Source organism: Homo sapiens, chromosome 8, assembly GCF_000001405.40.
Source record: "Homo sapiens chromosome 8, GRCh38.p14 Primary Assembly".
Taxonomy (NCBI): domain Eukaryota; kingdom Metazoa; phylum Chordata; class Mammalia; order Primates; family Hominidae; genus Homo; species Homo sapiens.
Window position 1 is genome coordinate 3,406,671 of NC_000008.11, and position 20,573 is coordinate 3,427,243.

The window sequence follows — 20,573 nt, forward strand, 5'->3', positions numbered from 1 at the left end:
TAGTTACTATAACACTAAATGAAACAATTATTGTCCAATTCTAAGTATTCTGCCTAAGAAACTAGGCAGTTAGCATATCATAATGTAGTATTACTCATATTAATATTCTCTCACTTTATTCCATCTACAGTGCATTTAAGTAGATATTCTTACATAAAATAGGTTTTAAAATGAGGAGCCTAAAGCAAAGAGAATGAGCTGTCATTAAACTTCACTAATTACATACTAGTGCTGTATTTTAATCCTTGGCTCCTGACATCATATTACACAGTTGTTTTTACTACACTACTTTGTTGCAAGAAAGATGCATAAGTGGCTGAGTGGGTGGGTGGATGGTTGTATAGATGGGAGGAAGAATAGAAGGAAGAAAGGAAGAATGGCTGGCTGGCTGGATGAATGGAGGGATGGAAAGAAAGATGAATGGAGGGATGGATGGAAAGATGAATGGAAGGATGGATGGATGAATGCATGCATGCATGGATGGATGGACAGATGGAAGGATGGATAATGGAAGGATATGGATGAATGGATGGATGGGTGAAATAATAGATAAATGGACAAAACGATGGAAGGGAAGGATGAATGGAAGGATATGGATTGATAGATGGATGGAAGGATAAAAGGAATGATAGACGGAATAATGGATGAATGGATGGACACATGGATGAATGATGAATGGATGGATGGAAAGATGGATAAACAATGGATTGATGGAACGATGGATGGATGGAAGGATGAATGGATGGAAGGATGGATGGATAGATGGAAGGATGGATGGAAAGATGGATGGAAGAAAGGATGGATAGATGCATGGATGGATGAAATGATGGATGGATGAATGAAAGGATACAGATGGACAGATGGATGGATGAATGGAAGAATAGATGGAATAATGGTTTGGTGGGTGCATGGATGGATAGAATGATGGATGGATGAATGGATGGATGGATAAATGGAAAACCGGAGAGAAAGAGATGTAAGGAGATGAAAGAGAGAGGAGATCCAGCTTCTTAGTTTAGGAGTGATGAAGCCACCTATCTAAATACAGTGATACATTTGTTTTTAAGTTTTCAGGATAACACTATAATTTTACTACTGTCATTTTCATAATGATTATAAAACCTCTGAAGTATCAACCTTGAAATGCAACTTCACATACATATAAGCAAAATGGGAACATGTAAGTAAAATGAGAACTTGGATGTGTTGACTGTGTGGGCGTACTTACTGGTGTAAGTGATGTTGAACCCTCTGCCAGTAGTGGAATGGTCAGACTGAAATTCCAAGCGAACTATATGCCCACTGCTGGCCAGCTGGGAAGGCACTTCATTGCCAGAAAAAGTACCCAGGACAGTTATGTCAGAAATGCCATCATCCTTGACCGCGAGAAAGTCAAACTGAGGCTCAACATCAAAATCATTAAAGATTAGGTGAATTCGACTTCCTGGCTCCGAGATAATCAACCAGACACAGTTCATGTTGTTCCCATATTCCTCTGGATAATTTGGTGACAGAATAATCCCAGATGATGCCGTAAAGTTGAAGAAACATGAAACTGTGAAGATGCAAATATATTTTCAAACAGTTATGCACATATCCAAAGAATTGCCATGTGAAACAGACAGCTAAGAACCTGGAAAGGCAATTCATGCCTGCAAATAGCTATGATGATCCAACTATTTTAATATAAGTAATTCTGGACCATAATGTTTTCTCCTTTCCTAATTTGTAAGTCGAATATTTCATTATCATATAGAGCACAACCAGAACCTATACATAATCAAGCACAAGCGTGGTTCAAAAATGATCCTTTCCAGTTGACTGAAAACGTGTGCCAAATATTATAATTTCTAGTTATAATTTTCTGCCTTCAGAAGAGCAAATATTAATATGGAAAAGTATATTCCTATATCATAGGAACAATTCAGCCTGCTCTTTCATAACTTTTAAATTTATATTTTATACTTTCCTGTGAGTGCATTTTCTCCAGTAATTTAAAATTTTTATTAGTTACAGGGTAAACATGAATAAATAAATAACTTGGAAACATCAGATCATGTTCTAGTTGGATAATATAAAGTATTTTGAAAAATTTACTTTTAAGAATGTGTACTTAAAATCATATATATTATATAAATAATTTTTTGGAGGGAGAAACTGTTGGATTTATCTCTAGAATACATTTTTGCTTCTTATTCCATATAATTTTGTACACACTTTTCAGCCTTTGCTATAGTTATTTACAAATAAAAAAAACCTCTCCTTTAAAATCGACTGTGAAGCCTTTTCTACTTGTTAAAATAGTATTCTTAAGAGGAAGTGGGCAGCTCATCAACTGAATTCCAAACCAATACCACCACCCATGCTCGCACTGGTGAACAACTTGTGTTTAAGTGTTATACAGCATTATTAAGTCACAAAGGACTCTGTTGCTGTACTGATGTCTGATACAGCAGATCATCACTGGCTTTTGATGGAAACAACGATATATGTGATGACCCTTTCTGGTAGGAAACGTTCAAGTACATTTTGTCGAGTAGATGTAATGAAACTATAAATTAGTTTTTACTAAATGAAGAAAGCAGGCAAGTTGGTGTTCGAGAACGTCCTTGCACGTTTCCAGTAAATGTGGCACCCCGAGCCATTCTGAAAGCTGCCCTCCCTAAATGGGCGGTCTGTGTCTTTCTCCTTTTCTCCCCTTGCAAGATCCTTGCAGGACAGGAGGGAGTCCAGGTCAAGGCATAATACTCACATACACAGCTGGGCTTGTTGCCAGACCACTGATTGTTCTGCTGACAGGTGATAACTCTCTCCCCCACCAGCTCAAAGGCCGCCGGGCATTCAAAGGTGAGTGTATCTCCATGGAGGAAACTGCTGCCCGTCCGCTTCCCATAGGCGGGGATTCCAGGATCCCCACACCCTCCCTTTTCAATTTCTGAAAATGGAAAAACAAATGAACCCTTAAAAAAACACACACAAGGAATATTTTTATCTCTACAACTTAGAAAGTAAATACGTGGCTTCTTTTTGCTGAACTAAACATCATTTTTGTAAAGTGTTTCTAAAGGATATTCAATTGATCTTAAATTTAATTTCAAATACCAGAAAAAGAATGTCATTTCAAATGAAGGGAAAGGTATTTAATTTGCTATCTTTTAAGGGATACACGTGGCTACACAGATACGCTGACAACACAAATGCTGCAATTAATCGGTGCATCTTCTGGATACCTCCGATCTTTTATCTGCAATTGCTACTACTAAAATGCAAATACCAGTTTAATTTTCAACTATGTGCTTTTTGCTATAAACAATACAAATAATATTCTTCATTCCCTACTGAGTATTTAAATAAATAGAATCTATTTGAATATTCTTTCCCTAAAATGAATGTTAACACTCACTTATGAAGCAGAATGAATAACAGTTTGGTCTACAGAGGAAAACAAAATATTCAGAATCAATCTTTCATTAAAACATCACTGTAATAACATATGCGTCCAAATACACCAAACCTATATTTCAAATGTTGATCTGTCTCAAATGTTAACTACACAGAATGTTTTCATTAAAATATTTTATTTATTTATTCATTTAAAAGACTATTTTTGAGAGCCACTGTGTGTCAGGTCCTGTTCTAGGTAAGGGCTTAGTGAATAAATGAGACAAAATCCTCGCACACATGGGGCTGGATATGATTTGGCTGTGTCCCCACCTAATTCTCATTTTGAATCCCACGTGTTGTGGCAGGGATCTGGTGGGAGGTAATTGATCATGGGGGCAGGTCTTTCCTGTGCTGTTCTCAGGATAGTGAATAAGGCTCAGGAGGTCTGATGGTTTTCTAAGGGGGAGTTGCCCTGCACAAGCTTTCTCTTTGCCTGCTGCCATCATGTAAGACGTGACTTGTTCCACCTTGCCTTCGCCATGATTGTGAGGCCTCTCCAGCCATGTGGAACTGTAAGTCCATTAAACCTTTTTCTTTTATAAATTGCCCAGTCTTGGGTATGTCTTTATCAGCAGTGTAAAAACAGACTAATACAGGGGTTATGTTTTATGGAGGAAAATTTTTTAAAATTATTATTTTTTTGAGACAGGATCTCACTCTGTTGTCCAGGCCGGAGTGCAGTGATGTGATCATAGCTCACTGCAACTTCCAACTCTGGGGCTCGAGTGATCCTCCCACCTGAGACTCCCAAAAATTAATGTGATTTGATGATGGGTAATTTAACACAAGATAGAGGGGTATAGAGAGATGGATGGAGGAGGAGGCAGTGAAGAAAATGCCCTGAAGGAAGATGGCAATCAGCCCTTCGAAAAGGAGATGTGATCCCAGTGTGCCGGGCAGGGCAGTGAGGGACAAATGGGCAGAGGTGGTTTGGAGCAGAAGGGAGGCCCTGCCTGTTGGGCTTCCTGTTTGTGCAGAGTGATGCAGGAAGAAGGCACTGCAGAGCTTTGGAGGAGACCTGGTGTCATCTGACTACAGACTTAAAAGATCTCTCTGCAACTTTGGAAGAGCAGAGGCAGGTGAAAAGTGAGTCCCAGGAAATTCAGGGTGGTTTCTCTGGACACCAGTCCCAAAAGTGCATTGGTTTTACTTTTAGAATTCTTCATGGGCTTGCACTTTATTATCTTGCAGGGGCCAAGAGCAAATTCTTTGTGGGGTATTTTTTAGTAACCTAACTACTTCCTTTCCTTTTCTTTATTTCCATAGGTTTTGGGGGGAACCCAAGCAGTATATGCTGCGTTCATTTTGTAGTCTTCTATTCCTCATCCCCTTCACACCCTTTCCCCGAGTCCCCAAGGTCCATTTTATCATTCTTATGCCTTTGCATCCTCATAGCTTAGCTCCCACTTATGAGTGAGAACATATGATGTTTGGCTTTGCATTCCTGGGTTACTTCACTTAGAATAATAGTCTCCAATCTCATCCAGGTTGCTGCGAATGCCATTAATTCATTCCTTATTATCGTTCAGTAGTAGTCCATCATATATATATATACGTGTATATATACGTGTATATATACACACGTATATATACACGTATATATACACGTACATATATACACGTGTATATATACACGTGTATATACGTGTATATACGTGTGTATATACCTGTATATATACACGTATATATACACGTATATATACGTGTATATGTATATATGCACGTATATATGCACGTATATATGCACGTATATATGCACGTATATATACACGTATATATGCACGTATATATACACGTATATATGCACGTATATATACACGTATATATGCACGTATATATACACGTATATATGCACGTATATATACACGTATATATACGTGTATATACACGTATATATATACATATACACACGTATATATACACATATATACACGTATATATACACACGTATATATACATATATACATATATATACACACGTATATATACATATATACATATATACACACGTATATATACATATATACATATATATACACACGTATATATACATATATACATATATATACACACATATACATACATACACACACACACACCACTGTTTCTTTATCCACTCATTGATTGATGGGCATTTGGGTTGGTTCCACATTTTTGCAATTGCAAATTGTGCTGCTATAAATATGTGTGTGCAAGTATCTTTTTCATAACCTAACCACTTTCTAATCAAGCTGTCAGTTTTGGCAATGTTTGTAGAAGTGACTCAGAACTGAATTTCCAGATGGTTTGAAGGTCTGCTGTGAGGGATATAGAAACGTTCAGAGGTTGATCCAGAGATGTTATATTGCATTCAAGAGGAGAAACTTTACTTCTAAGTGTCTGGGAATATCAAAGAAGTGAAGTTTGATACATTATCACACTAGCATGAAGATGTTGAATACATAGGATATCACCAACTTCTGTGAAGCAGAAGAGCACACACACAAAATGCAGATATTTGGTTGAGGTTCAAGGTACACTGCTAACGTCACACCTCAGGCTACCAAACAAAGATGATCCTTACAGAGTCAGCTCTACGAAAGCAAAATGTTCCTAATGCAACACAAGCCAAATACATCTATAGAGAACACCTTTGCTTAAAGATAGTTCTTGGAGTTTAGGTTGTTGAACAGAGATGGGAATGGATTTACTTAAATTTAATGCTTGGGATGCCTTGAATGAGCGTCTGTCACTGAAACCGACAGTGAGTTCAAAACGCTGCATGGTTTATAATAGAAAAGAGCTCTTGTTTGTTGTGGGCTCTCCATTGGGAAGCTGGGCTGGGCGCCCAGGGTCCTGGCATAGCACAAATCTGTGCAGTCAGGAGTCCAGACACCACATTTGGTTTTGAATCCCCCAGTGTTTGCTGGGCCACTGTGATCAATTTAGTCTCATCAAGCCTCAGTTTTCACATTATGAGCTTCCTACTTCCTACCTCAAAGGGTGGCCATGAGAATTAAAGAATAAGATTCATGGAAATTACCTGGTATATTGCACTGGAAATACAATTATTACTATGATTATTAGCAAGCCTTAAATGTTTCATTCTGCCTCTGTGATACTAAAGTTTACAATTTCTCCTTAGAGTAAAATAAATTATGGCATTTTGGGGATACTATTTTTAATATTAATTAACTCAGGGAGCTCTACTGTGCAGAGGTTTCAGAAATTAAATGAGGGTGAGGGTCTTTCTGCTTTCCATGCTGAGGATCAAGAGAGACCTGTGGTTAGCTGATCCCACCAAAGAGGCTGATGTTTGTTTATCCTGATGCATGGCTACGGCTGGCCGTGGACAGAACCTGTGTTGGACAAGTCCCTTATCAGGCATTAGGGGTTGACAAGTAACTGTCAAAGTAGCACGGTCCAAACTCAGTAGGTTTGTGTGTTTCACCTAGCTTTTGTCCTTTAGTTATAGAAGAAATGTAAGCATGTTTCATGATTATGCCAGCGATGTTTCATTTGGGGGAACTATCTTGGAATATTTTGCATTCTTGACTTCTTACACACTGAGTGTCACTACTGCCTCCAAATTATGGTGACAAAATTCACACAAGTTTTGCAATTTTATTTGAGGTTCATATCACCTTCAGGTAGAGTAGAAGATGAGTAAGATACTGTTGACAATGATACAGTATGTGTGTCAAACCCCCTTCTCTCTATGTCAGAGACGATTTTAACACATTTTCTTAGAAACAAACACTACAGCCAGATGCGGTAGCTCACGCCTGTAATCCTAGCACTTTGGAAGGCCGAGGTGGGATGATCACTTGAGATCATGAGTTGGAGACCAGCCTGGCCAACATCATGAAACCCTATCTCTACTAAAAATACAAAAATTAGCCGGGAATGGTGGTGCACGCCTGGAATCCCAACTACTGGGGAGGCTGAAGCAGGAGAATTACTTGAAACCAGGAGGTGGACGTTGCAGTGAGCCAAGATCGCGACACTGCAGTCCAGCCTGTGTGACAGAGCGAGACTCCGTTAAAGAAAAGAAAAAAAAAAAAAAAAGAAGCAAACACTATGATTTGGTATCAATTCAAAGACTGATGCACCTAAAGCAAAAAAAAAAAAAAAAAAAAAAAAAAATGCTGTACAAACTATCTCTTCCAAATTATTGAACTAGATATAAGATTTGATAATGAAGGGGCCTACGGAAAATATTGTTTAAGGATCATTCCGAAGAGCTTACATAGTCCAGTTACAAATACTGTCACACCTCCCTCTCTTCCCCAAAATACATCACACAGAAATTTTCTCTGTTGCTCTAGCTATATTCCCAAACATGCCATGTTGTGCCTCAGTTCAGGTTCTCACCCCTCACTGTCTATCATCATTTGCCATCATTGACGCTCTTGGGGTCCTCTCATCGCTCCCCATGCTGCATCCCATTTTCTGTGTTGCAGCCAAACTATTTTCTCAAACTCCAGTGCTAAGGATAACCGTACCTTGCTTGAAATTTTTCTGGTGACCAACTTTGTTCTTAGTCCAGATCCTATCCAGGACTCAGGAACCATGTGTGATGTGAACATCGCTGTTTTCTCCTAGGACATATCTCGTTAGTTCTTTCCCGGTGTTTCACAATCCAGACTTGCTACAATTTCTTTTAGTGCCTGAGGGTGTCTCCCCTCTTCAGCCTTCACACCTGCTGTAAATATTTAGTCCATTCTTTCCTCTGTTGTCTTATTTAACCATGCACTGTTGATATTCTAATTCAGTCTGCGCTTGCTCGGGGATGGCCTGTATCCTACGTGTCTCTAGCACCACTCTCTTTTCTGCGGCAAGACCTGTCACTCTGCATTATATGTACTTTTTGTGCTTTACTGTAAGCCCTGGCAGGGTCTATCTTGGTGATTGTTAAATCTGTAGCACCTGTTCAGAGTCAACACACAACAGATGCTTTTCTAAATTATTGTTCTTATTAAACTTGCAATTTAATGATTTTTATTCGCACTCACATTTACATACTAAATTGTATTTTAATTGACAAATTTAAATTGTATATATTGTTCATCTACAGCATGTTATTTTGAAATATGTGTACGTATCATAATGGCTAAGCAAAGCTAATTAATATACTAATTACCTTACATACTTCTGATTTTTTTCTTGAGAACACCTATACTCTTAGCAATTTTCAAGAATATAATACATTATTATTAACCATAGTACCATGTTGTATAAGAGATCCCTTGAACTTATTTACATGTTGCATTTATTTATTTGAAATGGAGCCTCGCTCTGTCACCCAGGCTGGAGTGCAGTGGCACGATCTCAGCTCACTGTAACCTCTACCTCCCGGATTCAAGAGATTCTCTTGGCTCAGCCTCCTGCATATCTGGGATTATACGCATGCATCATCACGCCCAGGTAATTTTTGTATTTTTTAGCAGCGATGGAGTTTCACCATGTTGGCCACGCTGGTCTCCAACTCCTGGCCTCAAGTGATCTGCCCTCCTCTAGCCTCCCAACAGGCTGCGATTACAGGCGTGAGCCATTGTGCCTGGCCTTGTATGTCACATTTATAGGTGTGTGTGTATTATATGTTGTATTTATATGAAGATTTTATATATTCTGGAGAATCTGATGAAGCTCAGTCCCTTTTTATTCTTTATTTCAGACTGAGATCTGGAAAAATGGAAAAGTATACAAGTAATAAATGGAAGACAAAACTTCTTTATTGGTAAAATGGATCTATGTTGTTTAGAAACATATCCCCAAGTTTTCATGAGAATAAGTGAGATTTTTTAAATTGCCAAAGAAGATTTTGAGTTGCATATGATATTTAATTTTTGGCACTTACAATGAGTAGCCACTAGCTACAGTGACTTTTCACACTTGTCAATTCTTTTTAAAAATAAGTGTTCTTGGCTGGGCGCGGCGGCTCACACCTGTAATCCTAGCACTTTGGGAGGCGGAGACAGGTGGATCATGAGGTCAGGAGATCGAGACCATCCTGGATAACATGGTGAAACCCCGTCTCTACTAAAAATACAAAAAATTAGCCGGGCGTGTTGGGGGGCGCCTGTAATTCCCAGCTACTCGGGAGGCTGAGGCAGGAGAATGGTGTGAACCTAGTAGGCTGGAGCTTGCAGTGAACCGGGACTGCGCAACTGCACTCCAGCCTGAGCCACAGAGCCAGACTCCGTCTCAAAAAAAAAAAAAAAAAAAAAAAAGTGTTCTTTAGATATAGTTTAGAAAACTGGCCCTTTAACAAAACAAATAACAGAGGACCAAACACTACAAGAGAAATAGAGAAAAAGAACTCTGAAGGTAGAAATAAATGAATGTGGACTATGATGGATTTTTAAACATCCAATTTCCACATAAGAATGTATTCGGTGTATACTTGAATTTCAAAAAGAGCTAAGAAGGCAGAAAGGAATGAGACATAACTGTGCCGTCAGAAGCATAGTTAGCACGCTTGCTTGTTTCCTTTTGTGTAGTCAACCATGGGTGTCCCAGGAGCTACATGGAAACACGTCCAGGGAGTTGCCTGGTCCTTTAGATTCTGCTGTGGCCACATCCCCTGCTAACACCATTTCTCATGTTGATGGCATGTCAGGCAAGGCAGCACTGTACATGGACACAAGACAGCTAGTACAGAACTCACTGAGCCTACACTGCTGTGTGTTCTTTGTTCTCTGTGACCTGTCTCCACAAGTAGATGAGAACTCCATGAATGACAGCTTTATCAGGTTCTTTCTCTTCCCTTCCAAAACCACTTATGAAAGTTCTTTGTATAAAACCGCTCAATGAATAAAACTAAATTCTAAAATTAGGTTCACCCATAGTCATGTATATGAACAGCAATTTCTCTAAATCTCAATAGATGACTATTGGATTATATAAGCTGATATCCCTGAATTTTAGTGAGAATGATTTACCAAGAGTTTAAATCACACCACGTTCTGCTCCCACGGTTGTGCTTGCATTACCAAATTTATTCTGGATGGGGTAATACAATTTCTGTTTGACATATGAAATATAGCAGGTTGCTGCAGTCTTTGTTACCATGAAGAGTTGAGATTCTTCAAGTTATCACAAAATAGATGTACTATGATGATGTTCCATAAATAAGAGGGACCTTTAAATTCCATACGGTTTGCTACTGGATTGCAATTAATATTCTGCAGAAAACACTCTGCTGTAGCTGTTCAGGAAATATTTCTTAAAAATAGTGGAAAACATTTAGATTTCAGACAGCTAACTTTTTATCTCCCAAAATAGCAGACCAAAACTCTTATTGCCTGTGTAAGATATTTACACAACTTCTTATATGCTTATTCGTATGAAAGCAATGTTGTCTAGCTTGTATGTCTGCCTTTTTTCTCATGTGCTATTTGACTACCATCTGTATTCTGAACTTAAGGCTTAAAAACTTTAATCACAAACTAGAATAGATAAGGTGTGTTCCAGGGCTGCCATAGCTACTACATGCGGGAAGTGTTAATGAACAGATTAAAATGGCCCAGAAATCAGTACATGCTTCCATTTTCGCTGAAGAGAGAGTGAGTAAAAGCAACAGTTTCTTGTGCAACTGACCACACTGTGCCTGCTCTTAGATTCTCATTTTTTTTCCCTGAGACTTTCACTCAGAAATCCCTAAACTAATTGATATATTTTCATCACCTTCGGAAAACAAGATTGCAGCACATAAATGGAAGTCTACAGACCCTGTTTTTTGGAGACAGTGTGAGAACATGTCCACGCGGTATGGACGTGGCACATGCTCCCGGCATTACTGAAAACCATATGACACAGCACAACCCAGCACTTGGACAGACATGGAGCCTCCCATGACTCTCTCCTTGTCCGTCACCATCAGTGACATAAGCCCAGAAAGTAGCGGATTGCTGTTACAGTGGCCTGTGCTTGTTAAAATGATGTGTGATCGTGCTTAATTATGGTGCTCAGGGAAAATTCGGTTGTGTACATGAAATACCATGTTTGCTTTTCATACAAATGTGCTTTGTTTGACTGAAACAAGAATGAGATGATTCCAAAGGTGTAGTCAAAAGCTAAGATGGAGCGGGAACTACACCTGCTGTGTTTTTCCTTCCCTTTTGTGGCCCCAGTGTGAAATGCTGGACTCTGGAAATTCGGGCTATAAGTAACCACAGAAATGAACTGTCTCAGCAGCTCATCTCGCTTGTCTCATGGAGACCATGAGAGTATAGATTTTCAAACTTGTTTATAGCACTGTCCAAATTATTTATTAGTGCTGTTGGAATTCAGAACTTTGTTGGTGATCCTGCCCAGAAAACTAAGAGACTGGATGTCAGAGAGCACTTACTGGGAAAGCAACAATTTTATTCAAGATATTGGTCAGCTATAATCATGGAGTCATATTTACTTGGCCAAATTCCCTGACGGTCCCGCTGATCTAGTAACCCGATTTGGGTATATAAAAGCATTGATTTTGAGCTGAAGATTCAGATCCAACAATGTCCTGTGTCTCAGCTCAACAGGTCTGTCTGCCATAACCTGCAACGTAATGAGAAGCAGGTTTTCCAGTGATCCCACTGCCCTGCACCAGAGCAAGAGAAATCTACATTAACATCACAGGACATCTCCATTGAATTTCCAAATTGGTGATCATGCAGACACACGGGATTGCACAAACTAATGTCAGACCATAGTAGGAAATGAGAAGGAAGAATGAGTCATTTTAAAGGATAGAATTTTTCCTTTTTAATATTATAGATTTCTTTTAAAGACATAGAAAACGAATACAACAGCCAAGGTAGTAATGAGAAGCACCTCAGAATACATGAAAGGTATGCATAATGCAATTTTACTTTCCAGAATTAATTAGTAGAAATTTAGTCCTGAAAAATCATCTTGCTATAGTGTTCCTTTCACTTACATTATACTCGAGGCATACAAATAGTTAATGCTCTGCTGTGTCTGTTGCCATTGTTTAAGGCTGAAACGCCAGCTAGGAACCTCATGGAGGTCGAGGCTTCTCAATGACGCAAGCTGCGCTGTTCTCTAATTCTTAACTCAGCAGGAACTGAACTTTTTGCCTTATCAAGTAACACATTTCTGAGCACCTAAGTGGTCATCCTCACAGAAGGATACTATCAGGCTTACAATCTGCACCAACCAGATGCTCCTGGTTGATTCTTGAGTTCAGGTTCACTGTAAACTTCAAAAATAAAACTAACTCCACTGCCGTTTCCAAAATGAATAATTGAAAATGAAGGATGAAGGTGCTGATCACCAGATGAAGCCAGATGAACAAAATAGGAATAAAAATTTACTATTCTAGAATTTCTGTTTTTCAAGTAATAAAAATACACACATATTTGTATTTTTAAATAAGCATATACACTGATTTTTAATAAAAACTCTATGTATTTGTGTTTGCCTGTCAGGAGGAGGATATTCAAGTAACCCTCAGCTAACTAGGAAATTCTGAAACCTGGAAAATCCCACGTCTGGCCAATTGCTATAGATTCGTAACCCCTTTTATCAACAGGATTGAGAAGCAAATAAATAGGAAAAAAAAAGTGGAGAAATAATTCAGATTACTTTCGTCACCTACAACGTTCTAATCAAATACCAAATAGCCAACATGTCAAGAAAAAAATCTGCATATCTAGATTCATTAAAAGAAATAATCTTCATCAATACAGTTTTGCATAAATTAATTGCTTTATTTTCCTGCTACTTCTAGACCACAGTCTGGAAGCAGGATAGCAAAGTGAGTAGAAATATAGACTCTTGGAATAGATCCTGTTTTAGATGGAATCTCAGCAACATCAATTATCTGTGTGACTTCCTGTGAGTTGCTAGAAGTACCTGTTTACCTAATTGTGGATAATAATCGTTCGCATCTCCTTAAAGATCCAATGCATGAGAAGCCAATGCACAGTGCCTAAATAGAGCCCAGGGTATATTAAGTTCTATCTCTTTGCTATTATTATTAACATCATCATTGATATTACTTTTAATTTCAATAGTTGGGAAGTCATTCAACTTAAGAAAAGCCAAGCTAAGTCCTCAAAATTATTTGATAAAAGTCCTTAAAAGATACAACTACTTTATGATATTCCTGGAAAACGTATAACCCCAGTCTAACCACAAGAAAAGCATCAGATAAATACAACCTGAGGAATAGTCTACACAATACCAACCAGGACTCCTCAAAATACCCAAGATCATCAAACCAAGGAAAGGCAGTAACAATTCAGAGGGACCAGATGAGGCAAGACAATTAACTCAGGGTGGATCTGGGTGGTTCCTGGGACAGGAAGAGGACACTAGGAAAAAAAAAAAAAAGCCATGGAAATCTGAATAAAATACGACCTTCAGTTAATAACGTTTCCATGTTGTGATGCATGTACCTAACGATATAAAGTATTAAATATAGGGAAACTGGCTGTGGGGTGGACAGAAATGCTCTGTACTATCTTTGCAACTTTTCTTTAAACCTAAAACTACTTTAAAATCAAAAATGTTAATTTGAAAAAAGAAATCAGTGTTGTTTTTAAATGTGTACTACTGTTCTGGTTAAAAATTAGTCAAATTCTAAACTTTTGGGTCTTAATACCTTTGTCACGCTTGCAATGATTCCTTTTAGGCATAGGTTATGGAATACTAAGACTTTGAACATTCTATTACTTTCACCATTCTGCGCATGGATTGAAAACATTCCTTAAACACATAAAGATGGTACTTGTTCACGCTCCAATATATTAAAAATAATAAGTAAAATGCTTCCCATGATTGAGAAAAATCACTCTTTCCTGTTTCTCTTGGTCCAGTTATCTAATAATCAGAATTTATTATATATTAAAGAGACTAATACTGCCTATTTATAGTTTTCCTCTGTGCTGTAGATTATTAAAAAAAAGACACTAAAAGCTGTGTAAAGTTTTACTGTGGTGGTGGTCATTTTATTACAATAACTGAAGACGAAGCTTCATTTGCTGATTCTATGCTCATTTTCAGTATGAAAAAATGAAAATTACATCTTTAACATTCTATTAAATTGATGGGCAATTTCTTTTCTTAAACTCATACTACAAGACAGTTGAAACCAAGTCTGGAGGAAAATGCAGAGTCATTAAAGTATAAAAGGTGGTGGTCTTCAGAGACTGGATCCAGGGATTGGCCCTGAGTAGGTCCTCCACAAGGAAACAGTTGGATATAGGACGAGAAGGACTGCTCTGAGCCCACATTCCTGAGGGAGCCACACATTGAATGGGCAGAGATAAAGGAATGACCAAATGCAAATGAGAGTTACTATATACAATCCCAGGTTGTGATTAAGAAAAGAGAAACATCATTCTCTACCTTATCAAAGACTTCATTTTATTTACACAAAACAAAGAATAGAGGAGTTCTCACTATGAAAATAACAATTTTGTAGACTTTAGTAACATCAGCCAATTCAAGATAATATTTAGCCTGTTTGATTATGTGTTAAACCCCAAGATAAAAAAAATCCCCAGATTTCTAAATTATAAATTCTACAGATGTCTTTTTCTTTTTTTTGAGACAGTGTCTTGCTCTGTTGCCCAGACTGCAGTGCACTGCTGTAATCTTGGCTCGCTACAACCTCCACCTCCCAGGTTCAAGCAATTGTCCTGTCTCAGCCTCCAGAGTAGCTGGGACTGCAGGTGCATGACACCATGCCCAGGTAATTCTTGTATTTTTCGTACAGACAGGGTTTCACCATATTGGTCAATCTGGTTTCTAACTTCTAACTTCAGGCGATCCACCCACCTTGGCCGCCCAAAGTGCTGGGATTACAGGCGTGAGCCACGGCGCCCGGCCCCACAGATGGCTTAGAGTATTAGCCACCACAACCGGCCCCACAGATGGCTTAGAGCGTGAGCCACCGCGCCCGGCCCCACAGATGTCTTAGAGCGTGAGCCACCATGTCCAGCCCTGATGTCCTAGCGTGGATTCTATCATCTACACCTATCTACCCTTCCCATGACTAGATGATCAATGAAATCTCCAAGGTCACTCTACTCTGCACCAGTGTTTCATTCCTTTGAAACTTAGTTTCACTTATTTTCAGTCTTGTTGCCTCTCACCATGAAGGGGCTGCTGTTTCCTCAAGGGCTGGACTCACACTTAGCCACTCAGCATTCTTGATGGCATACAATTCTGGGTACCTGATCAATGCTCAGCCAATAATTTGGGGTTTGTTGAGGGAGTTGGAAAAAATGAGCCAGAAGTTAAACCTGAAAGAGGAACCAAGAATCTTGGATTTGGGGCCACTTTCCACATTGTTCTTCCACTCACTTTTCCCAAAATGCCTATTGAAAGAATCTTTCAAAAATATCATGTGCATTTCAGTAATTCTTATAATTGAGTCTGTCTGAAAGCATTTTAAAAGGTATACTACTGAAGAAATCTATTGTAAGACACAAACAGAAGACAGAAGACAAAACAGTAAATTTTGAAAAAGAGCATGTTACAATAGGGCTAGACCATGATCTGTCTTTTGGGAATCAAGTGGGAAATAAATTAAATATTTCAAATCTATTTTCGATGCATTTTTCTGATGCCAGTGATTTTATGTATTTTTCATCGTCTTAGTCCCCTTGTGCTGCGATAACAGAAAAACATAGACTGGGTAATGTATGAAGAGCAGAAATGTATTTCTCATGGTTCAAGAGGCTAGGAAGATCAAGATAAAGGCACTGGGAAGGTTGGTGTCTGATGACAACTGCTCTCTGCTTCGAAAACAGTGCCATGAATTCTGTGTCCTCCAGAGGGAGGAACACTGTCCTCACATGGCAGAAGGAAAAGGGCAAAAGGGGTAGATTCTCTTTGTTAAGCTCTTTATTAAGGGTCACAGCTCTTACTGCTACCAAATTGGCAACACCTGAATTTTACAGGAGACACCTTCAAACACCAGCACCAGCTAGTCGAGTTGTACAGTCCTATGTATTTAAAAAATAATTAAACAGATTAAATTATTTTGGGGTCACTTATTATTACTCATCATAGTTCAATGATATTTTTAAATAATCAGTTTAATTAAGGAATGAATTAGGTACCACAAATTTTACCACGTCTAAATGAACAATTTAAGGAGTCTTAATTTAATTTGACGAATTTGACTAAAGGTTATAGTCATGTATCCAACACCAAAATCATGGTATGGAGGCTTCTCATTCCTCCACAATTTCCTCCATATCCATTTTCAGTCCATTTTTTCTCCCTTTCCCTTGCTCCTGGCAACCAGTGATCTGATTTCTGTCACCATAGCTTTCTCTCTTCCAGAATTTCATATAAATGGAATCATAGGGTACACACATTTTTGTCTCTGGTTTCTTTCACTGAGTGTAATGATTCTGAGATTCATCCATTTGGTTCCCTGTATCAGTAGTTATGAACTTTTTGTTGCTCAATGGTCCTCCACTGTGTGGCTTTGGCACCATTTGTCTATCTTATCACCAGCTGACTCAATGGTCCTCCACTCTGTGGCTTTGGCACCATTTGTCTATCTTGTCACCAGCTGATGGGCATTTGGGTTGTTTCCAGTTTGGGGCTATTATGAAGAAAGTCTTACGAATGTTCCATCCCAGGTCTTTGTGTGGAAATGTGTTTTTATTTCACTCGGGTGAACACTTAGGGGTGGAATTGTTGGATCACAGAATAGGCACATACTTTTTGGTGAATGGGTACTCCCTCAGCGACCTTGTCTCTCCTCACAACTGGGATGGTGGAAGTCACCTCCACCAGTCCTACGGCACGAGCTGCTTGTGTTTAGACAAATTAATGGCGACCCTCAAATAAACACACACCTCAATTATTTAACTATTTTTGGCTACTTACAAAATCAGAAAAGATTCACAGTACCAGTTTTCTTTGTTGGTGAAAAAGTGGTCTCTCCAAGCTCTTCCGTACCATTTTAAAAAAATTTACCTCCTTTTAAAAATTATTTGTTTTATGTTCAATGCACCCATTATTCAATTATAAGTATGAACACAAATTTATCAGTATAGGAAGCTCATTTGTATCTAAGAGCATAATGAAATATATCATGATTCAATTAGAGTTTATGATATTTGTTTAGTACAGGAAGCTCATTTGTATCTAAGAGCATAATGAAATACACCATGATTCAATTAGAGTTTATCATATTTCTTTGCAAAAGCCAGGTATTGCCTAGTTTAGTCTATTAATTTTGAGTACAATCTGACTTAATAATCTCTGATTAGCAAACTTGGGAAGCTATTGAATAGTTCGCACATTGCCCAGTTACTGCATTCATTGAGAGTGTACCAAGCAAAACATACCACAAGGTAGCACGTCTAGTCTGTGTATTTATTCACTGTTTGTATGCGAATATGTGTAACTTAATGATTGTCCCTTAGGTCATATAGAGAAAAAAAGTTAAAAAATTACTTGGCTATTGTTCTTGTAGTTTTTGTAATTACACTTAGTAAAACAATATGACTTCAAAAATGTAACCCTAGTATCACAATTTGAACACAAAATCTTTCTTATTCATTCAAATAAAGAAAAAAATGTGTGTTTCTGTGATTACACAATGATCTTACTTCCTTTGCCATTTCTATCAGGAAGGAATTGTCCTTCTTGATTATCAGGTCAACTGTCAAGGAACCACAGTGTTTGTGTTCAAGGAACCCTTATTTGACTTAACAATTGCCCAAGAGTAATGAAATTGGCATATTGTTATCATCATTCTATTTTTTTAAATATTATTTTATTTGAGACAGGGTCTTACTCTGTTTTCCAGGCTGGGAGCCATCATGGCTGACTCACTATGATCTCAGGCTCCTGGGCTCAAGTGATCTTTCGACCTCAGCCCCTGGAGTGGCTGGGACAACAGGTACATGCCACCACACCCAGATAATGATTTTATTTTACTTTTGTAGAGACAGGGGTCTCACTATGTTGACCAGCCTGGTTCCAAGTCCCTGGGCTCAAGCAATCCTCCTGTCCCAGCATCCCAAAGCGCCACCATGCTTGTCCTATTTTATCATTAGTCATTGTTGTGAATCTCTTACTGTGTCTAGCCTGTCAATTAAACTTTATCAGGAGTATGTACGCATAGAGAAAGCATAATACATATGGCTTGGTTTCAGGCATCCACTGGGGGACTTAGAGCTTATCTCCTTGGGACAAGGGAAACTCCTGTATGTTGAAAATGCCCTGTCCCAGCTGGGCAAGGTGGCTCACGCCTGTAATCCCAGCACTTTGGGAGGCTGAGGTGCGTGGATCACGAGGTCAAGAGATCCAGACCATCGTGGCCAACATGGTGAAACCCTGTCTCTACTAAAAATACAAAAATTAGCTGGGCGTGGTGGCACCTGCCTGTAATCTCAGCTACTTGGGAGGCTGAGGCAGGAGAACCGCTTGAACCCAGGAGGTGGAGGTTGCAGTGATCTGAGATTGCGCCACTGCACTCTGGCCTGGGAGAGAGAGCAAGATTCGGTCTCAAAAAAAAAAAAAAAAAGAAGAAAGAAAAAAGGAAAAAAAAGGAAATGCCCTGTCCCAGCAGCAGGGAGCCCAGAGAGTTTTCATTACTCTTCTGTTGTTGTTAGTGCATTCTGCCCTGAAGAAAAACATCAAAGAAAATCTGGCTAGGTTCGGATACCCTTTTTCTCTCTTTTTATTCAATAGACAGCAAATTTAACCAAGGTAAATTTCAGCACCTTGATTCACGTATATTGACATTGAGGTGAAGAACTATGACCTGTTAGAATAAAACTGATCAAAGATGACCACAAAAGATTTTAGTGTCTACCATCTCTAAAAGGTGAGTAATGGAATCTGCATTGTATTTCCCACTAGAATAAAAGGGGTTTTATCTCAAGTAAAATGTGTCTCTGTGAACAAAAAAGCTGGGTCTATGTAGAATCAGAAAGAATTATTTAAAAAAAATCTGTGCCAATCTGAAAATATTCTTGATAATCTGTGAAAATGTAAAAAAGCAGAACAGACTATTGCATGAATTATACTTGGTAACGTTTTCCAAATTTGTATTGTCCTATCCCTAATACTTTCCTTTCAATAACAGTAGATACAAAAGCAGAGCATGTGAGGAGCTGTATTAGAATCAGGATTTCATTCTCAGTAATATACACACTACTCCTAAACGTTCCATCCTGCACATCACATGAGTTAAATTATTTCTTGATCATCAATTTTTTTAAGTACCAGAGGTTATTTTGTTCCGTAGGTTACGTATCAGACAGTGATCATGAGACTCATAGATACTTGGAACTCCCCTTTTGGATCTAATTTAGCTCGACTTCTCTAACTTTGCTTTTTTATTAAAAAATAGGAACATCACTTTTCAAATCAATTAATGGAAAAGGAAGCTGGAGACTGTCCACCTGCTCTTTCCCTCAATTGCCTCCTCTCCTCCTTCAATGTCATCTTAAGTGACTTCTCCTTATTAAACACCAGGACAGATGAAGATACAAGGCAATATAATTTTTTATTTATGTTTTTATTTCTTGACACTGCCACTTTCAAGGTGAGATGCCATAATTAACTTTTTAAAAACTTGTCAACTTACTTTATTTTTCTTACATTACAAACCACTAAGTCAAATTATTGTGCTAAACTTTATAGTTTACTAAAATGTAGGCCTGACATAAACTAATTGGTGCTAAGTTATATTTAATGGGTTGTGCCCAGTTAGTTTCCTCATGTTCCAAATCACTGGATGTATTAGTCCATATTTGTACTACTATAAGGAACTGCTCAAGACTGGGTAGTTTATAAAGGAAAGAGGTTTAATTGACTCACAGTTCAGCTGGGGAGGCCTCAGGAAACTTACAATCGTGGTGGAAGGTAAAGGGGAAGCAAAGTGCCTTCTTCACAAGGCGGCATGAAGGAGAGGAATGCAGGGGGAATTACCAAACACTTATAAAACCAACACATCTCATGAGAACTCACTCACTATCACGACAGCAGCATAGTGGAAACCATCCCCATGATTCGATCACTCTACTTGGCCTCTCCTTTGACACAAGAAGATTATGGGGATCATAGGGACTAAAAATCAAGATGAGATTTTGGGTGCAGACTCAGCCAAACTATATCACTGAATAAGCATAACAAGAACTGGTCAGATTTTATTTTGC

General features: G+C 38.5%; 1 protein-coding gene and 1 long non-coding RNA gene across 4 annotated transcripts in view; one reads left to right on the top strand and one right to left on the bottom strand.

Moving 5' to 3' along the window:
• The window catches only part of CSMD1 (CUB and Sushi multiple domains 1), a 2,059,554-nt gene that overhangs the window by 471,310 nt on the left and 1,567,671 nt on the right, over positions 1–20,573 (bottom strand). For all 3 annotated transcript variants that reach the window (XM_011534752.3, NM_033225.6, XM_017013731.2), the window contains exons 13-14: positions 2,753–2,935; positions 1,229–1,555 (exon numbers count right to left, since the gene is read on the bottom strand). In XM_011534752.3, coding sequence (XP_011533054.1) covers positions 1,229–1,555; positions 2,753–2,935 — 510 coding nt within the window. The remainder of the gene's footprint in view (positions 1–1,228; positions 1,556–2,752; positions 2,936–20,573) is intronic.
• Positions 2,774–20,037, top strand: LOC105377791 (uncharacterized). Its single transcript, XR_001745634.2, has 4 exons — positions 2,774–2,847; positions 18,215–18,307; positions 19,102–19,237; positions 19,766–20,037. It is a non-coding gene; the product is annotated as an uncharacterized LOC105377791 (long non-coding RNA).